The following is a 20,690-nucleotide window of genomic DNA, read 5'->3' as shown; positions in this document are numbered from 1 at the left end:
TATGAGCAACCCCTGCCCAGATCATTGTCTGACTACTAAATGATGCAGGCATAGGCTGCCCTAGAAACCCAGGCTAAAATAAAAACAAGAAAAAAAAACCGAGCAGAGCATCAGTCACAACATACTATGGGAGAATTAGATTTTGCAGTTTAAGTATAGGCAAGTTATTAAAAACAATAAATAGCCCATCAGGTAAATAAAACAATCGATAGCTACTCCAGTAGATTATCTGAAGCCTCTAGTTTTCAACCAGATATTATAAGACATGCAAGGAAAAATCAGGAAGGTGTAACCCATGCTCAGGGAAAAAAAAGTCATTAATAGAAATGATTTCTGAATAGGCCCAGCTATTAGATTTAGCAGAGACTTCAAAATAGCTGTTAAAAAAATATGGGAAGGGGAATATCACACTCTGGGGACTGTGGTGGGGTCGGGGGAGGGGGGAGGGATAGCATTGGGAGATATACCTAATGCTAGATGACACATTAGTGGGTGCAGCGCACCAGCATGGCACATGTATACATATGTAACTAACCTGCACAATGTGCACATGTACCCTAAAACTTAGAGTATAATAAAAAAAAAAATATATATATATATATATATATATATATATATATATATATGATTAAAAACTTAAATCGTGTTCAAAGGTTTAAAGGAAAATGAGATGACAGTTACTTAACAAATAGGGAAGTGGCTCTAACCACATTTGGTCAATATTGTAGTAGAGGTCCTAGCCAATTATAATGCAAGAAAAAGAAATGAAAGAAATAGAGATTGGAAATGAAGAAGCAAAACTGCCTTTATTCACAGATGATTGGATTATTTCTAGAAAATTCTAAAGAATCTGCATAAAAGCCACTGGAACTATTAAGTAAAGTTAGCAAGATTGCAGGATATAAGGGCAATACACAGAAATCACTTGTGTTTCTATATTAGCAATGAATAATTGGGAATTGAAGTTTTATTATTTATTTATTTTAGAGATAGGGGTCCCACTATGTTGCCTAGGCTGGCCTTGAACTTCTGGGTTCAAGCAATCCTCCTTCAGCCTCTCAAGTAGCTGGAACTCCAGGTGTGCACCACCATACCTAGCTTGAAGTTTTAAAAAATGTGTAACACCCAAAGACATGAAACACTTAGGCATAAACTTAACAAAATATGTGCAAAAACTGTATACTGAAAACTACAAAACTCTGCTGAGAGGAATATGAGAAATAAGTAATGATGTCCTCCCCTCCCCGCATTCATGTCCATCTGGAACCTCAGCATGTGACCTTATTTGGGAATAGGGTCTTGGCAGATGTAATTAGTTGAGAATCTCCAGGTGAAATCATCCTGTATTTAGGGTGGGCCCTTAATATAATGACTGGTGTCTTTATACGAGAGAAAGGAAAGGGAGCTTTGGATCCATCTACACAGACACGGAAGAAGGCCACGTGAAGAGTAGAGTTAGGTTGCCGCAAGCCAAGGAATGCTAAGAGCCTCCAGGAGCTAGAAGAGGCAAAGAAAGATTCTCCTCTAGGGCCTTCAGAGGCAGTATGGCCCTGCCAACACCTTGATTTCAGACTTCTGGCCTCCAGAACTGTGAGAGAATGAATTTCTATTGTTTTAAGCCACAAAGTTTATAGTAATTCATTATGGCAGCTCTAGGAAACAAATATAACCATGTTATACAGATTGGGATCTAGAATGATCAAAATGATTTTGAAAAAGAACAATAGAGTTGGAGGACTTAAACTATCTAGCTAGAAGACTTACTGTATAGCCACAGTAATCAAGGCAGTGGTATTGGTATAAAACTAGATTAAGTTAATGGAACATAATATAGAGTCCAGAAATAGACCCACACCTATATGGTCCATTGATGTGCCAGTGCAGTTCAGTGGGGAAGGGATAATCTTTTCAACAAATGGTGCTAGAACAATTAGATAATGATATGTAAAAACATGAACCTTGACCCTTACCTCTAGAGGAAAATCAACTCAAAACGGATCATAGATCTCAATTTAAGAGTAAAAGCTATAAAACTTATGGAAGAGAACCCAGGAGAACATTTTTGTGATCTTGCTTTGGCAAAGATTTCTTAGCCATGTCACTGAAAGCATGAACTGTAAAAGAAACAAATGATAAATTGGAGCTTATCAAAATTACAAATTTTTGTTAATGAAAAGCTAACACTAACAAAACGAAAAAGGAAGATACAGACTGAGAAAACATTTGCAAATTATATGTCTGACAAAGGACTCATTTATAGAAATAAATGAGCTCTTGTAACTTGATTAGAAAACTAGTAACCCATTTTAAAAAGCAGGCAAAAGATTGGAACAGATAGTCCACCAAAGAGGTTATACAGGTGTCCGATAAATACATAAAAAGATGTTCAATGTCGCTAATCACTAGGAAAATGTAAATTACAACCACAGTGAGATACCACTACATACCTCGAATGGCTAAAATTAAAAAGATTTCCACACCAAATTCTGTCAAGATTATATGATAACTGAAATACACTGGTGGTGGTACTATATTATGTCATAACAACTTCAGAAAATGGTTTGGCAGTTTCTTGAAACAGTTAAAGGTACATTGATCGGGGGTTCTATTTATAAGTATTTACCTAAGAGAAATAAAAGGACATGTCCATACAAAGACTTGTAGAGGCTGGGCGCAGTGGCTTACACCTGTAATCCCAGCACTTTGGGAGGCCGAGGTGGGTGGATCGCTTGAGGTCTGGAGTTCAAGACCAGCCTGACCAACATGGAGAAACCCAGTCTCTACTAAAAATACAAAACTAGCTGGGCGTGGTGGCACATGCCTGTAATCCCAGCTACTCGGGAGGCTGAGGCAGGAGAATCGCTTGAACCTGGGAGGCGGAGGTTGTGGTGAACCGAGATTGCGCCATTGCACTCCAGCCTGGGCAACAAGAGCGAAACTCCATCTCAAAAAAAAAAAAAAAAGACCTGTAGATGAGTGGTTATAACAGCTTGATTTGTAATAGCCAAAAGCTAGAATAAACCCAAACGTTCATCTATAGGTGAATGAATAAACAAATTATAGTATATAATATAAAGCAGAAAACTACTTAGCAATGCTAAGAAATGAATTATTGATACACAAAACATTTTGTTTGTATTTTGTTATTCATACAAAATAATTTTTCTGAGTGAAATAAGCCAGACTGCCCCTCTCAAAAAAAAGGGTACTTACTTTGTGATTCCATTTATAGAACCTTTTAGGAAATGCAAACTATAGAAACAGAAAGCAGGCCGGGCGTGGTGGCTCACGCCTGTAATCCCAGCACTTTGGGAGGCCAAGGCAGGTGGATCACGAGGTCAGGAGATTGAGACCATCCTGGCTAACACGGTGAAACCCCATCACTACTAAAAATACAAAAAATTAGCTGGGCATGGTGGCGGGCGCCTGTAGTCCCAGCTACTCAGGAGGCTGAGGCAGGAGAATGGCATGAACCCGGGAGGTGGAGCTTGCAGTGAGCCGAGATCGCGCCACTGCACTCCAGCCTGGGCGACAGAGCAAGACTCCATCTCAAAAAAAAAAAAAAAAAAAAAAAAAAAAGAAACAGCAGAATGGTTGCTTAGGGTGGGGAGGAGAAGGCATTACAAAGGAGCATGAGGAATCTTTGGAAGTGATGGATATGCATTAGCTTGATTGTACTGGTGGTTTCAAATGTGTATACATACATAAAAATTTATCAAATTGTACATTTTATGTATGTTCAATTTATTGTATGTCAATTATACCTTAATAAAGCTTTAAAAAGGGGGGGTAAAAATTTGGATAAACTTTACCTCTTTGCCTCTTCAAAGAAAAAATGGTCAATAAGCACAGGAAAATATGCTCAATATTATTAGTCATCAGGAAAGTCATCAGTGATATATTACTTTATAACCACTAGAATGACAAAAAATAAAAAGACCAGGAATACCAAGTGTTGGTGAAGTTGTAGAGCAACTGGAACTCTCGTATGTTGCTGGTAGAAATATAAAATGTACAGCCACTTTGGGTAACAGTTCATAGTTTCTTACAAAGTTAAACATATACTTATGTATAACCAGCAATTCTCCTAAGTAACTACCTAAGATAAATTAGAACACGTGTTTACAGAAACATGTATACTTAAACATTCATAGCAGTTTTTATAACTAAGAACGGAAAACAACTTAAAATTCCATCAGTAGATAAATGTAAACCAAATTTTTGTGTATTTCTATAATGGAAAACTACTCAGTAATAAAAAAGAATGTACTACTGATATGCACAATATCATGAATAAATTTCAAAAACGTGTTGAGTGAAAGCCAGAAACAAAAATAGTATGTATATGCTTCCTTTTATATGAAATACAAGAAAACCCAAACTAATCTCACTTTGATAGCAAACAAATCAGTGGTTTCCTGAGCCTAGAGATGGAGACAGGGATTTATTATAAAGGGGCATGAATGAATTTTGGGGGCTGATAGAAATGTTCTCTCTCTTAATTGTGGTTACATGGGTATATATATTTATCAAAACTTTGACCTTATATACTTGAAATGTGTGTAGTTTATGTGAATTATATTTCAACCAATTTGATTTTTTTTTTTTGAGACAAGAGTTTCACTCTGTCGCCCAGGCTGAGGTACAGTGGCATGATATCGGCTCACTGCAGCCTCCGCCTCCTCTCGGGTTCAAGTGATTCTTGTGCCTCAGCCTCCTGAGTAGCTGGGACTACAGGCGTGTACCACCATGCCCAGCTAAATTTTGTATTTTTAGTAGAGATGGGGTTTCACCATGTTGGTCAGGCTGGTCTCAAACTCCTTACCTCAAATGTTCCACCTGTCTTGGCCTCCCAAAGTGCTGGGATTACAGGTGTGAGACACCACACCCGGCCGAATTTGATTTTTAAAAAATCCATACCACCACCCTTGTTTCGCTACTCATTATTTCTCATTTGGATGAAAGCAGTACTCTTCTAAGTGATATTCCTGCTATTGCCTTACTTCTTCAAACCCATACGCTAAGAAATGACTTGTAAGACAGAAACTCGACCTTGTTACTTCCTTGCATACAACCCTTAAATTGCTTACCATTACTTAGTTTCTTAAAATAACATGTAATGCTTTTTTCCATCTGGTCTTTGCCTCTATCTTTCCAGCTCATCTTCTATTACTTTTGCCTCTCACTTTGCTTATGGCTGTCAGTTCCCAATACAGACCATGTTAATTTCATTTTTTGTGCCTACATTCATTCTCTGCCCTCTGCCTTTTGTCTAGTAAACAACTGTTTATCCTCTAAAACTCAGCTTAGGGCTCTTCTCCTTCAGGAAGCCTTTTTCTTTAATAATAATAATAAAAAAATCATTCTTTTCCATACTCTTTCTCCCTCAAAGGGAGATGGATTAAGTAACTTTAGCTTGTGTTTTTTTTTTTTTTTTTTTTTTTTTGGCTCATCATAAACATTGGTATATTTACTTTTTTTTTTTCTTTTTGAGACAAGGTCTCATTCTGTCACCCAAGCTAGAGTACAGTGGCATGATCACAGTTCACTGCGGCCTTGACCTCCCAGGCTCAAGCGATTCTCCCACCTCAGCCTCCCAAGTAGCTGGGACCACAGGCATGGCCACCATGCCCAGCTAATTTTTTATGTTTTGTAGAGACAGGGTCTCGCCATATTGTCAAGGCTGGTCTTGAACTCCTAGGTTCAAGTGGTCTCCTGTCTTGGCCTCCCAAAGTGTTGGGAGTACAGGCGTGAGCCACCATGCTTAGCTGGTATATTTACTATTTTGGCTTATTATGCTTTCAGTGCTCAACGATTAGTTTTATTTATATTTTGGATCCACAAGGGCTATTTTGTAATAGGTGCTCAATAAGTATTTGTAGAAAGATTGAATAGAAATGTTAACAGGGTAAAAGTATACATTGTTTTGCTTTTCCAGCACACTTAGAATGCAGAAAATTACTATTTTGTTTTAAACAAAACATTTTGGCTAGGAAAAAAACTCAAGATTTATCTCAACATTTAACACCACTTTTATTTGGGTGGTGAGATTAGTTTCTTTAATATTTTTGATATTTTTGCATTTTTCAAGAGAACATTTAATAGACTATTGTTTCATGAGACATAACCTGAAAAATTATGTAACTTTTACCTACTCAAATTAGTTTTTTTATTTCTTTAGGTCCACAAGGCGATTACAATTTCCAGTCCCCTAACCACAGACCTGACTGCAGAGCTGTCTGGTGGGCCAAAGAATGTATCAGTGCAACCTGAAATATCAGAGGGTCTTGCTACTACGCCCAGCACTCAACAAGTAAAAAGTTCTGAGAAAACCCAGATTGCTGTCCCCCAGCCAGTGGCTCCCTCCTACAGTTATGCTACCCCTACCCCCCAGGCCTCTTTCCAGAGCACCTCAGCACCATACCCAGGTAAGGACCTTTGCTCTTGGAGATAGAAGGAAAAAGTAGAACATTTGATCAAAGTATTCCCTTTTAGAGGAAAGAAGGAAGGGAGGCATAACTTGAATACTGTGTGTTAGAGAAAAAATAACTCTGTCATTGCCCCTGCAGTCATGGACTGGGGGCTCTAGAGCCTTTCCTCAGCAGGCCTCCAGCTTATGGAAATTTACGAGGCTAATTTTCACAGATCCAGATTCCACTGTGACTTAAAGGCACATGATTCAATTAAGTATAATGTTCAAGTGATCAATCAGAGCCTACTGGGAAGAAAGATTTGGATCAGTGTATTTGCTTACCTTCTGAAAGTCTGGTTGTAGGTCTCTCATTTTTATAGCATCTTTATTTTAATTTTTATTTATTTTTAAAACTTTTAATTTTTGTGGATATATAGTAGTTGTATACATTTATGGCATACATGAGATACTTTGATGCAGACATGCAATGTGTAATAATCACATCATGTAAAATAGAGTATCCATCCCTTCAAGCCTTTATCCTTTGTGTTACAAACAATCCAGTTATATTATTTTAGTTATTTTAAAATGTGCAATTAAAATATTATTGACTATAGTCACCCTGTTGTGCTATCAAATACTAGGTCTTATTTGTTCTTTCTAGCTTTTTTTTTTGTACTCATTAACCATCCCCCCCTCCCTCTTACCCCCACACTACCCTTCGCAGCCTCTGGTAACCATCCATCTATCTAACCATTACTCTCTATCTCCATGAGTTCAGTTGTTTTGATTTTTAGATTCCACAAATAAGTGAGAACAAGCAGTGTTTGTCTGTGCCTGGCTTATTCACCTAACATAATGACCTCCAGTTCCATCCATGTTGTTGGAAATGACAAAATTTCATTCTTTTTTATGGCTGAGTAGTACTCCATTGTATATAAGCACCACATTTTCTTTATTCATTCATCTGTTGATGGACACTTAGGTTGCTTCCAAAGTTTGGCTGTTGTGAACAGTGCTGCAAACATGGGAGTGCAGATACCTCTTCGATACACTGATTTCCTTTCTTTTGGGTATAGACCCAGCAGTGGGATTATTGAGTCACATGGTAACTCTATTTTTATTTTTTTGAGGAACCTCCAAACTGTTCTCCATAGTGGTTGTACTAATTTACATTCCCACCAATAGTGTACGAGGGTTCCCCTTTTCTCCACATCCTCACCAGCATTTGTTATTGCCTGTCTTTTGTATAAAAACCATTTTAACTGGGGTGAGATGATATCTCACTGTAGGTTTTTTTTTTTTTTTTTTTTTTGAGACAGAGTCTCACTCTGTTGCCCAGGCTGGAGTGCAGTGGCGCAATCTCGGCTCACTGCAAGCTGCGCCTCCTGGGTTCATGCCATTCTCCTGCCTCAGCCTCCCGAGTAGCTGGGACTACAGGCGCCCACCACCACGCCCAGCTAATTTTTTGTATTTTTAGTAGAGATGCGGTTTCACCGTGTTAGCCAGGATGGTCTCGATCTCCTGACCTTGTGATCCGTCCGCCTTGGCCTCCCAAAGTGCTGGGATTACAGGCGTGAGCCACCGCGCCCGGCCATCTCATTGTAGTTTTTATTTGCATTTCTCTGATGATCAGTGATGTCGAGAACCTTTTCATATGCCTGTTTGCCATTTGTAGGTCTTCTTTTGAGAAATCCCTGTTCAAATATTTTGCCCATTTTTAAATGGGATTATTAAATTTTTTCCTGTGGAGTTGTTTGAACTCTTTATATATTCTGGTTATTAATCCCTTGTCAAATGGGGAGTTTGCAGATATTTTCTCCCATTCTGTGGGTTGTCTCTTCACTTTGTTGATTGTTTCCTTTGCTGTGCAGTAGCTTTTTAATTTGATGTTATCCCGTTTGTCCATTTTCGCTTTGGTTGCCTGTCCTTGTGGGGTATTACTCAAGAATTTTTTTTTTGCTCAGACCAGTGTCCTGGAGAAGCATCTTTATTTTTAAAGCCATTCATAAGAAGTAGATTTATACATAGTGTATAAATAAATCTGTGCTTCACAGGTGCTGTTCTAAGGTATTAGGAAGAATTGGTTAATCAAGAAACTAAGTTGGTCTTTATCCCCTGAAAAAGTCAAGAGGGTAAAAGCAAAGTCAGTGATAATGAATTTTTGCCAATTTTTAATTTTTCAGGGTGTCCTTTGGTAGTAATAGAACATGAAATTTTAGGGGTTCAATCATGAGGCACCAAAGTAATTTTTGTATCCAGTCAAGATGCCTGTAATTTTTGGTGTAATTGTGAAGGGTTTGGGTTGAACTGTTTTGAATAGCCATTTTTTGGTTCATTATACTTTCTCTGAGTATCATGTTTCTTTCTTTTCTTTTTTTGAAAGTCACTTCAGAGAGTTCTTATTCCATCTCCTGGGGCATCCAAATGCTGAAGCTTCCATTAAGGATGGTTTCATTTCTCCTCAAGTGCAATGTTCCCATGCAGAGGCGGATAAATCTCAAGTTTCATATTTGTCTAGGAAGCCCTTCTCGCCTCCCAGGCTTGAAATATGAGTGGACTAGCCTATTGTTTGCTTTAAGCTCTCCTAGTTTTGAAGTCTCATAGCAAATGAACATTTATTGTCAGAGAAATAAGATTTATATAATCGGTGGCTTTCAGTGGTCTGCAAACATTTTTAGTTGGGGGAGGGGAGTGATGCTACTGACGTCTGGTGAGTATGGGTCAGTGATACTGTTAAACACCTTACAGTGCTCAGGACATTTCCCTCCATGACAAAGAATTACCTGGTCCAAAATATCAGGAGTGCTGAGCTTGAGAAACTCTGACATATGTGAAATAGCTGGTGAATAGTATAAAGACAGTATATAGCTCTTTGCTGACTTGAGTGTTCCAAAAATGCTAGCATACTTCAAGATTAGATCAGTTTGAACTGAAATGGTCTGGGAAGATTTCTTGGAGAGGAGACAGACTTTAAGCTAGAAACAAAATGCTGTATTTAGAATAAAGCAAGGCAAACACCGCAGTTGAAAGAAATAACTTTAGCAAAGTCCCTGAGAGTAGACCGTGGCTTTGTGGAACACAAGAGGGAAAATCAATGTAACTAGAGGCAAAATTAGATAGGAAGGATAAGACAGTGAGATCAGATGATGGTTCTCTAATGGCAGGTTGGAAGTTTGTCCTTAAATATGATATGGGAGCAGGAGTCTTAAATAGAAGAGTAACATAGTGGGTGAGTATTTTGGAAAGACTAATGGTGTTGGTTGTTTTAGGAAGACAGAATAGATTGGAGTAGAGAGAGCTAGCAGAGGGAAGATAAAATAAGATTCTTGGGATAAGCAAGCTGGGCGTGGTGGTGCATGCCTGTAGTCCCAGCTACTTGGGAGGTTGAGGTGGGAAGATCGCTTGAGCCCAGGAATTTGAGGCTGCAGTGAGCTATGATTACACAACTGCACTCTATCCTGAGCAACAGAGTGAGGCCCTGACTCAAAAAGAAAAAAAAAATTCTTGGAATAATCTAGTGTGAACAATGAATCTTGTAGCAATTGGAATGGAAAGAAAGTAAGGCAGATTTGTAACCATTTGCCTTCCCTTCTAGAAACTTTATATATGTATCTTATTAGAAAGTTATTTGTTAGCATAAAGGTGATACTTGAAACAGGATTTGAACTCTGTGGAATGTAGTATATAGGGAGGGCTTAGGGACAGACTGTAGTAAAAATACAGTGGAGGAAAAGAGAGAAAGGAGGAAAAATAGAATAATATGGTGTCATGATATCCAAGAGTTTTAAGATGGAGGCAGTTAGCAATAGTAGAAGCCACTGAGATGTGAGATGAAGAATGAGGGTATTAGGGTACAGCTGTTAGATTTACTAAGAAGTAGTTTTGAAAGATCCTTTTCAATGGAAAAGTGGGGACAGAATCAAATTTCAAGCAATTAGAGAGTAGAAAAAAGTTAGTAATTGATGGCAGTAGCTGAATATTGATCATGAAAGGAGTTTGATCACAAAAGAAAGAGAGAAATAAGACAGTCTGGATCTATTTCTTATCTCTGGTATATTTACTTTGTTTCCAGTTATAAAGGAACTGGTGGTATCTGCTGGAGAGAGTGTCCAGATAACCCTGCCTAAGAATGAAGTTCAATTAAATGCATATGTTCTCCAAGAACCACCTAAAGGTAAACATCCCCTTACATTTGGATAACCGTTTTTTGTTTTTGAAAGAGATGGAGTCTTGCTGTGTTGTCCAGGCTGGTCTCAAACTCCTGGGCTCAGGAGATCCTCCCACCTTAGTCTTCCTAGTAGCTGGAACTACTGGCATACACTACCACTCCTGGCCCTTATCTTTTTCCCTCCTCTGACTTCCTGTCAGGAAAAAATGTATTTTTTTTAAGTTACAAATTTATATTAGCAGTCATCTTGAATAACTTCTTTCTAAGTTCTACATCTGCTATTTACTGGTTGTTTGACCAAAATAAACAGATTAATCTGAGTCTCAGTTTCTTTCTCTTAAAATGGATTTAAATACAACCTAATAAATATGTTCTATATTAATAAGCATCAGCTATATGCTAGGCACTAAACTGGTAACTTATCTACTATCTCATTTTGCCCTTAAAGTAATCTTATGAGGTAGGAATTATTATCCCCATTTTATTGAGAAAGAAATGGAAATTAAGAGAAGTCATTTACTTAGATTCACACAGATAATGAGTGGCTCAGCTGAGATTTGAACCCAAGCGTGACATCAAAGCCTGTGATCTCAAACCCTACATTATATAGTACCTCTCATATTCCATAAATATTTGTGCATACCCGGGTTATATCCTATCCTCACAGGACCGTTGTAAGGACCATCGTTTCCCATAGTGAGAACCCTGTCCCTGGGGGAAAAAAAAGCTAAGCCTAATGTGATATACAAAATTCAAGTTTATAAAATATATAAAGTATGGATGATTAATTCATTATTTAAGAAAACTTTTGTAATATGAACATTACTTTCACCTTTGAAGTATGTGTTAATATACCAAAGTTTGACTTACAAACACATATGGGTTCTCTTAACACTATTTAGGACTTGAGTGGTACATACTTTGATGGAAATTGAGCCAGTTGGGTTTATGTTATCATTAAAAGGTTAGTCAAGTAGAATGTCCTTCCCTATTTAGGATGGGGTCCTTCCATTTTAGGTACACACATCTCCAATACAGTATTCTTAATTTCTAGGCCTAATACCAAATAGCATATTAATGCAAAAAGTACTTTTCCAGAAGCAAAATGCCCTGTCTGTTCTATATTTCTGCTCTCAAATCGAGGTTTCCTTATCAATTCATTTCACATTCCTCTAGAGAAGCTTTTTCCTTTCTTCCTCTGGTGACAAGTTAAGGTGATTGGGTTTAGTGGCTTTTGAAGTTGGAGGTGAGGGACTGCCTTGAGCTGTTGATTACTACCATTCTTTTGTGAAAGACATGTTTGGCTCTACTGTATTTTCTTTCCTAACCCATATTTGCATGTACCTTTCTGTGGGTTACTATCATTTTGTAGATCAGTGTTTCAAAACATGTTAGTTTAGAAATAGATTCTTTGGCCAGGCACGGTGGCTCACACTTGTAATCCTGGTACTTTGGGAGGCTGAGGTGGGTGAATCACCTTAGGTCAGGAGTTCAAGACCAGCCTGGCCAACGTGGCGAAACCCCATCTCTACCAAAAATACAAAAAAATTAGCTGGGTGTGGTGGTGGGCACCTGTAATCCCAGCTACTTGAGAGGCTGAGACAGGAGAATCGCTTGAACCCAGGAGGCGGATGTTGCAGTCAGCCAAGATTGTGCCATTGCACTCCAGCCTGGGTGACAGAGCAAGACTCTGTCTCAAAAAAAAAGAAAAAAAAAAAAAAAAAAAAAAAGGCTGGGCGCAGTGGCTCATGCCTGTAATCCCAGCACTTTGGGAGGCTGAGGCGGGCAGATCACCTGAGGTCAGGAGTTCAAGACCAGCCTGGCCAGCATGGTGAAACCCCATCTCTACTAAAAGTAAGCCAGGCGTGATGGTGGGCGCCTGTAATCCCAGCCACTGGGGAGGTTGAGGCTTGAGAATTGCTTGAACCCAGGAGGCGGAGGTTGCAGTGAGCCAAGATTATGCCACTGCACTCCAGCCTGGGTGGCAGAGAGAGACTCCATCTCATTAAAAAAAAAAAAAAAAAGGGAAATAGATTATTTTCTCCTGTCCTCTCTCCAGGTTCTTCCACCTTTATTAGATATGTGAGATGGATGGTTTCAAACTTCCAAAGGTTGGGGGTGATGAGGCAGGACCAATTCTGCATGCTCTTTATCCTTCTCCTGCCCTATGGCAGCCCATTAGGATCCCTCCAGGTCCATTTTCAAAACCACTGTCCGGCTGGGCGTGGTGGCTCATGCCTGTAATCCTAGCACTTTGGGAGGCTGAGGCAGGCAGATCCTGACTTGAGGTCAGAAGTTTGAGACCAGCTTGGCCAACATGGTGAAACTCTGTTTATACTAAAAATACAAAAATTAGCCAGACGTGGTGGTACGTGCCTGTAATCCTAGCCACTTGGGAGGCTGAGGCAGGAGGATCACTTGAACCTGGGAGGCAGAGGTTGCAGTGAGCTGAGATTGCACCACTGCACTCCAGCCTGGGCAACAGCAAGACTTCATCTCAATCAGTCAGTCAGTCAATAGAACAAACGAACGACTGTCCTCAGTCACTGCAACCAGCACTCTTTCTAACAGAGTTACACTCAGTTGTTCCTACCTTTGAACATATTTCTGCCTGCGAGGCATAATTCATCCCCTGAGCTTTTCTGTCCTAGGAATATTGTCCTGTTTTGAAATTTATGTTGCTAGCCTTAGCTATTATAAAATTATCTGTTCCCAAACTGTTTTCTACATGGAAAAGAATTTCCAGCTACAGTTGGAAGAAATGTCTCTGAGTACAAGTCCTGCTTGTGCTGCTTCTTTCCGTCTCCTCTCGTAACATAACTACTACATACTATATACGTTTGTGAGAGCTGTTGGCGCTGACAACTGGCCAAAAAAATTCTTGTTTTGGAGGAGGAAGGAAGGAAGGAAGAAGACCTTGTCTCCCAGGATTATAAAATAAAATTGGTCTTCAGATGAAGGATATCTTGGAATTAGGTTCTGTGTACTGATTTTAACATTTGAACTCATGAAATAAGAAAAAGATGACCACTCTCTGCTAAGTGTTTCAGGTTTTTTTTTCCCCCTTTTTCTTTTTTACTTTTGGTTAGTAACTTAAACTAAACCTTCCTACCAAAGTCCTCCCTTCCCTAATCAGAAATGCATTTTGATCCAAAAAAATTTAAGACTACTTTTTCTGGGGAGGGATGCCATTTAGATAGGATCCTACCATTGCCTTACCTAGTGATATAGTCTGACCTGCAAGTGGGTACCATTTAATGCTTCATTTGATTTTAATTAATTTCACTGGGCCTGTTTTAAATGGGCCATCTCCTACCATCTTCTGCAGTGTGTTATTTAGCTCAGCAGGAATGAAGTAGCTCTTTTAACTCACCAGGGTGTGATGACCTCAGTGAGACGAGCATTGTTAGCACTCTGTAAAAAGCTATTTTTGAACCATGTTATTTAGAAGTCATTGCTGTTCTTTGTTGCAAAAGAAGTTTTGCAAGAAAATGGCCTTTGTTCCCAATGAGTTCATCTATAATGGTTGGTCGGACATGTATTTTCAGTGGTATGCCACACCATGAGCAACCTGGTATTTTTTAGGGAGGATTGGCCCTGAGAGGGTCGGTATAGGGCAGGAATAAGCATTGTTGGGAGAGAGTTGGAAGAAGCCCTAACTGTAGCTGAGTCAGCAGCATTCGCTCTTTCTTTCAGCAGATGGTTTGGTTTCCCTACAGGCTTTGGGGTGAAATCTTAAAAACTAAAGCCTTGTCAAGATCAGAAGAGATTTGTTATTGGCAGGCTATGTGGCTGTCCTCTTTGTGTGTTGGTGTGTGTTTTCATGATTTTTGTAACTGCCCTTCTATAGGAGAAACCTACACCTACGACTGGCAGCTGATTACTCATCCTAGAGACTACAGTGGAGAAATGGAAGGGAAACATTCCCAGATCCTCAAACTATCGAAGGTGAATTTGCCTCCTTTCACTTGCAGGGCAAAGGTAGAGGAGTTGACTGTTTTCTAAAATGAATATCATATAATTTTCTGTCTACACTTAAGTTGTAAACAGTCTTTTAGAAATGAATCCTCCAAAAATCTGACTGGCTGACATCCAGTATTTGTTAGTGTATGATTCTCAAAATTTCATTTATGGTAAGAAGACTGTACCAGCATGGTAGTGGTGGCTGAAAATATACACTAAACGGCTTTTAAGGCTAACTTAAGGATTTTAGAATTTGGGATAAGCTAGGTTATTTGTGGCCACATGACTGCATACATTCACTCAGCCTTTGTGGGATTCAGTATAGGTTTTTTCTTTTTTTTTTTTTTTTTTTTTTGAGACAGGGTCTTGCTCTGTCACCTAGGCCGAAGTGCAGTGGTGTGATCACGGCTCACTGCAGTCTTGACTTCCCAGGCTCAAGCAATCCTCCTACCTCAGCCTCCTGAGTAGCTGAGACTGCAGGGTCATGCCATTATACCTGGCTAATTTTTGTATTTTTTATAGAGATAGAGTCTCATCATATTGCCCAGGCTGGTCTTGAACACCTGGTCTCAAGCAGTCCTCCCATCTCAGCCTTCCAAAGTGCTGGGATTACAGGTGTGAGCCACCATGCCCAGCCTAAGTACAGTTATTGACAGATCTAAAATGTTTGTATTTGGCTGGGCGCAGTGGCTCCCGCCTGTAATCCAAGCACTTTGGGAGGCTGAGGTGGGGTGGGACAACTGCTTGAGGCCACGAGTTTGAGAAGAGACTGGGAAACATGGCAAGACCCTGTCTCTACAAAAAATTAAAAATTAGCTGGGTGTGGTGGTTCATACCTGTAGTCCCAGCCGGTCAGGAGGCGGAGGTGGGAGGATCACTTAAACCCAGGAGTTTAAGGCTGCAGTGAGCTATGATCATACTACTGCCCTAAAGCCCAGGTGACAAAGTGAGATCTTTTCTCTAAGAAAAAAGTTTGTATTCTTTGGCCCAGCAGTCTCATTTAGTCATTCATTCTACATCTATTCATTGTACACTGGTCATGTGGCAGGCATTGGGGATTTACCAGAGAATTAGTTATAATTTTAATGTTCAAGAACAATAGAGTCTAGTAGGTGATACTGATAGGAAGCAGGTAATTATAACAGGTGGCACACTAGGTCAGTGCAGAGGGTCAATGAAGCCTTGGAAAGGTAGAGTGGATTTCTTAGAGTGACTGACTTACTAGGTAAAGGGTGAAGGGATAATACCTCAAGCAGAAGAAGCAACATGTCCACTGGGCCAAAAATGGGAGCGAAAATGTGGGGAAAGGGGAATTTATATGTGGTTGTGACTAAGTTGGAAAGATGCAGGGGCCAGATGGAGCAAAAGCCTTATATGCCGGATTAAGGACTTTGAATCTTATCCAGAAGGAATATGGAGCCCTTGAAAGGCTTTAAGCAAGAGAAACACATGTTTAGATCTTCAGATTAGAAAAATCACCTGACTACAGATTGGAGGAGATAAGACTCAAACTATAGAGGTCAGTGAGGAATCTGTTGAAAAATTTAGGTGTAAAATGGTAGTAGCCTGAGTGAAAGAACTAAATAAGTAAAATTGAAAACCACCAGCCTAGACAACATGGTGAAACTCTAACTCCACAAAAAATACAAAAATTAGTTGGGTGTGGTGGCATGTGCCTGTGGTCCCAGCTACTCAGGAGGGTGAGGTGGGAGGATCGCTTGAGCCCAGGAGGTAGAGGTTGCAGTGAGCCATGATCATGCTACTGCACTCCAGCCTGAGCAACAAAGTGAGACTGTGTCTCAAAAAATAAAAATAAAAACCACCTATTGAATTCATACCATGTGCCATACCCAGTGCCGATTATTTTGTACACTTATTTCTTTTAATCTTCGTAACAATCCCAGGATGTAGGTATTACTATCTTTTTTACAAATGACAAAACTAAAAACTGGAGAAATGAAGTGATTTGGCCAGAGTTCACAAAGGTATTAAATGGTAGGTCTAAACTGGAGCTTTCCATCTCTAAAGGCCATGCCTTTAATAATTGTGCTATGACAAGTGGTTAAGAACTAAGGTGATGGCAGTGTGGATGGAGACAAGTGAGTAGATTGGAAAAATAATACGGAGTTTGACTTGATAAAATTTGATGATTGATGAACTGGTTGGGGATGTTGGGGAAGAGAAGTCCAGGATAATTCTAGCTTTTTGGCTTAGGTATCTGGGTGGATGTTCATTGAAATGAGGAGCACAGAAGGAGAAGCAAGTTTTAAGGAGAAGTTTGCAGATGATTAATTCATTTTTGGACAGAGTGAGTTTGAGGTACCTGTGAGACATTTGAATTGAGTTGTCCTGTTAGTAGCTGGGGGAAAGGGACTGGAGGTCAAAAGACAAGTCTGGGCTGGAGAGATATATTTGCACATCAACCTCAAATAGATGATTTTTGAAGCCACAGCAATAGATAAAATCAACCAGGGAGAGTGTGCAGAGTGAAGAAATAAGCAGGCTGAGGTTGGAATCCTGGGAACACCCATCATTTAAGGGATGGAGGGTAGAGGAAACTGAAGGAAATGAAGTGTGAGCACAGAAGTAAAAGCCAAGAAGAAGAGTGTTATAAAGAGGAAATAGCCAAAGATACTACTTGTGGTTCAATTAGTATTTACCCAAAGAAAATACTTCAAAAGAAAGAAAGAAAGAAAAAAAAAAACATTTGCCTGGAAGATGTTTGTTACAGCATTAGTCATAATAGTAAAAATTTGGAAACAACCCAAGTATCGAACAATTAGAAATGCTTATGTGAAATTTGACACATTTGTTCATATACTGCTTTGTGGTCGTTAAAATAAATATTAAAAAGATTGTGGCTGGGTGCAGTGGCTCAAGCCTGTAATCCCAGCACTTTGGGAGGCCGAGGTGGGTGGATCACCTGAGGTCAGGAGTTCAAGACCAGCCTGGCCAACATGGCAAAACCCATGTCTCTACTAAAAATAAAAAATTAGCTGGGAATGGTGGTGCAGGCCTGTAGTCCCAGCTACTTGGGAGGCTAAGGCATGAGAATCACTTGAACCCAGGAGGCAGCAGTTGCAGTGAGTCAAGATTGCATCACTGCTCTCCAGCCTGGGTGACAGGGTGAGATTCTGTCTCAAAAAAAAAAAAAAGATTGTATGATTGTATTATAGTAGGGAAGGTGTTCATGCTAAATGAATGGAAGAAAGAACAATAGAAAGTTTGATACCTTGATTTTAGCTAGAACTTTGAATACCACTGAAATATGAGCTCCTTGAAGATAGAGATCTTACCTTATTCGTATCCAAACTACAAGCCTAGGACAATGACTGGTACATGATTTGGTTTCAGTAAATGTTTGTTAAACGAATGAGCTGTACACAACTATTATTTTAATATGTGGTCAAGAGTTAGAAGGAAATGGAGAAATTTGATGAGTTGATGTGTTATGATAGTGATATGCTGGGTACTTTTTTGTTTTTTTTTTATATTAAGTTTATAAATTAGTAAAAATCAGGAGGGAAAAATATTCAGATATTTGGGAACTATTTAGTATCTTTACAAAATGTTTTTCTTTGAAGTGATGATTATTTTAATTTCGTAACTCTGTGGAGTGGGATATTCGGGCCCTTAATGTTCTTCTGAAAAGAAAATGGGAGTACAGAGATATTTGAAATCCCTTCTGTTGTTCTAGAGTCAGCTACTCATAAGATTCACATTAAAAGGGTTTTTTTTTTTTTCAGTTCGTTGTTTATCTCTTCAGCTAGTTTACTTTTTCTTGCTGGAGTGCAGTGACATGATCTCGGCTCACTGTAACCTCCACCTCCCGGGCTCAAGCCCTCCTTTCACCTCAGCCTACTAAGTAGCTGGGACTACAGGTGTGTGCCACCACACCTGGCTAATTTTTGTATTTTTGGTAGAGATGGGGTTTTGGCATATTGCCCAGGCTGGTCTTGAACTCAGGAACTCAAGTGATCCACCCGCCTCCTCCCAAATTGCTAGGATTACAGGCTACTTTACCTTTTCCATTTTGGAAATAGGGGAAGGAAAGAGTGAAAGATTCAGCTTGGGAAAGTTCAGATATATCTTATTTTAAATGTAATTCCTGCTCTTTGTGATTGTCTAAGAGATCTTCTCTCACTTCTGCAGCTCACTCCAGGCCTGTATGAATTCAAAGTGATTGTAGAGGGTCAAAATGCCCATGGGGAAGGCTATGTGAACGTGACAGTCAAGCCAGGTATGTTTTCAGCCCTGGCTGTGTCTCCCTTCCTCCCTCTGCAGGACTCCTGAGGAGATAGAGATTTGATTTGGGGTTTTTGATTCTCATTTTTTTTGTAATGTATTTATTCAGCAATTCCTAGTTCAATGTGGTGAATAGTTACAATAGCAAAATACAGACTTTGTTCCAACAGTGCTCTAGTTGGAATGCTGAGCTGGACACATGGCCCACAGTGCAGTATGGCCTAAGCAATAACTTATCTACCGAGACCTACTTCTTCAAGTGGGCCATGCTGAGAGGGACCATGAGTTGTAATTAACAGACACAGGGAAGCCAAGAGCCTAGGAGAAGCATGCAGAAGGAGAACCAGCCAAGTGACCAGCTCTTTCTGATCTCTTTCCAGAGATGTGAGCCTTTGTACACAGAGTTCCTCATTTAAACACTACCAGTCTCTTTCACCTTGGTAACAAAATCATGTCATTCTTTTAAAATGAACCACTGTAGGTAGATCACAGTGCAGTAGGAAGGAATCTTATTTTGCATTTTCAGAGAAATTTAAGAGAAGATGGGCAGTTGTATTAGTACATTTTCATGGTGCTGATAAAGACATACCTGAGACTGGGCAATTTACAAAAGAAAGAGGTTTAATGGACTTACAGTTCCACGTGGCTGGGGAGGCCTCACAATCATGGTGGAAGACAAGGAGGAGCAAGTCACGTCTTATGTAGATGACAACAAGCAAAAAGAGAGTTTGTGCAAGGAAACTCCCATTTTTAAAACCATCAAATCTCATTCACTATCACAAGAACAGCATAGGAAAGACCTGCCCCCATAATTCAATTACCTCCCACCAGGTTCCTCCCACTGGGTTCCTCCCACAACACGTGGGAATTGTGGGAGTTACAATTCAAGATGAGATTTGGGTGGGGACACAGCCAAACCATATCATTCCACCCCTGGCCCCTCCCAAATCTCATGTCCTCACATTTCAAAACCAGTCATGCCTTCCCAACAGTCCCCCAAAGTCTTAACTCGTTTCAGCATTAACTGAAAAGTCCACAGTCCAATGTCTCATCTGAGACAAGGCAAGTCGATTCTGCCTATGAGCCTGTGAAATAAAAGCAAGTTAGTTACTTCCTAGGTACAATGGGGGTACAGGCTTGGATAAATATAGCCGTTCCAAATGGGAGAATTTGGCCAAAACAGAGGGGTTACAGGCCCCATGCAAGTGCAGAATCCAGCAGGGCAGTCAAGTCTTAAAACTCCAAAATGATCTCCTTTGACTCCATGTCTCACATCCAGGTCATGCTGATGCAAGAGGTGTGTTGCTATGGTCTTGGGCAGCTCTACTCCTGTGGCTTTGCAGGGTACAGCCTCCCTCTCAGCTACTTTCACAGCCTGGCGTTGAGTGTCTGCGGCTTTTCCGGGTGCATAGTGCAAGCTGTCAGTGGATTTACCATTCCAGGGTCTGGAGGACAGTGGCCCTTTTCTCACAACTCCACTAGACAGTTCCCCAGTAGGGACTGTGTGGGCCTCCAACCCCATATTTCCCTTCTGCACTGCCCTAGCAGAGGTTCTCCATGAGAGCCCCGCCTCTGCAGCAGACATCTGCCTGGACATCCAGGTGTTTCCATACATACTCTGAAATCTAGGCGGAAGTTCCCAAACCTCAATTTTTGACTTCTGTGTACTTGCAGGCTCAACACCACATGGAAACTGCCAAGACTTGAGGCTTGCACCCTCTGAAGCCACAGCCTGAGCTCTACATTGGCCCTTTTCAGCCATGGCTTGAGCAGCTGGGATGCAGGGCACCAAGTCCCTAGGCTGCACACAGCACTGAGAACCTGGGCCTGGCCCACGAAACCATTTTTCCCTCCTAGGCCTCCAGGCCTCCAGCCCCTGTGAGGGCTGCTATGAAGCCC

At 40.2% G+C, this 20,690-nt stretch overlaps 1 protein-coding gene across 18 annotated transcripts in view, besides 1 other annotated feature; it reads left to right on the top strand.

Annotated features, from left to right (window-relative positions):
• KIAA0319L (KIAA0319 like) overlaps positions 1–20,690 on the top strand; it is a 124,170-nt gene that overhangs the window by 72,268 nt on the left and 31,212 nt on the right. For all 18 annotated transcript variants that reach the window (XM_006710909.3, XM_017002369.3, XM_047430826.1 and 15 more), the window contains 4 exons: positions 6,182–6,428; positions 10,488–10,589; positions 14,434–14,531; positions 18,699–18,786. In XM_006710909.3, coding sequence (XP_006710972.1) covers positions 6,182–6,428; positions 10,488–10,589; positions 14,434–14,531; positions 18,699–18,786 — 535 coding nt within the window. The remainder of the gene's footprint in view (positions 1–6,181; positions 6,429–10,487; positions 10,590–14,433; positions 14,532–18,698; positions 18,787–20,690) is intronic.
• Positions 19,620–19,766: a silencer, noted in NCBI's record as "fragment chr1:35931229-35931375 (GRCh37/hg19 assembly coordinates)". NCBI's record gives its function as "represses an EF-1alpha promoter that drives an FKBP-Casp9 reporter gene in an ReSE screen in HepG2 liver carcinoma cells {active_cell/tissue: HepG2}" and the evidence as "EXISTENCE:reporter gene assay evidence [ECO:0000049][PMID:32094911]".

The sequence above is a fragment of the Homo sapiens genome, chromosome 1 (assembly GCF_000001405.40).
Source record: "Homo sapiens chromosome 1, GRCh38.p14 Primary Assembly".
NCBI lineage: Eukaryota > Metazoa > Chordata > Mammalia > Primates > Hominidae > Homo > Homo sapiens.
The sequence above is the reverse complement of the archived record's forward strand: the minus strand, read 5'-3'. Positions and strand labels throughout refer to the sequence as shown.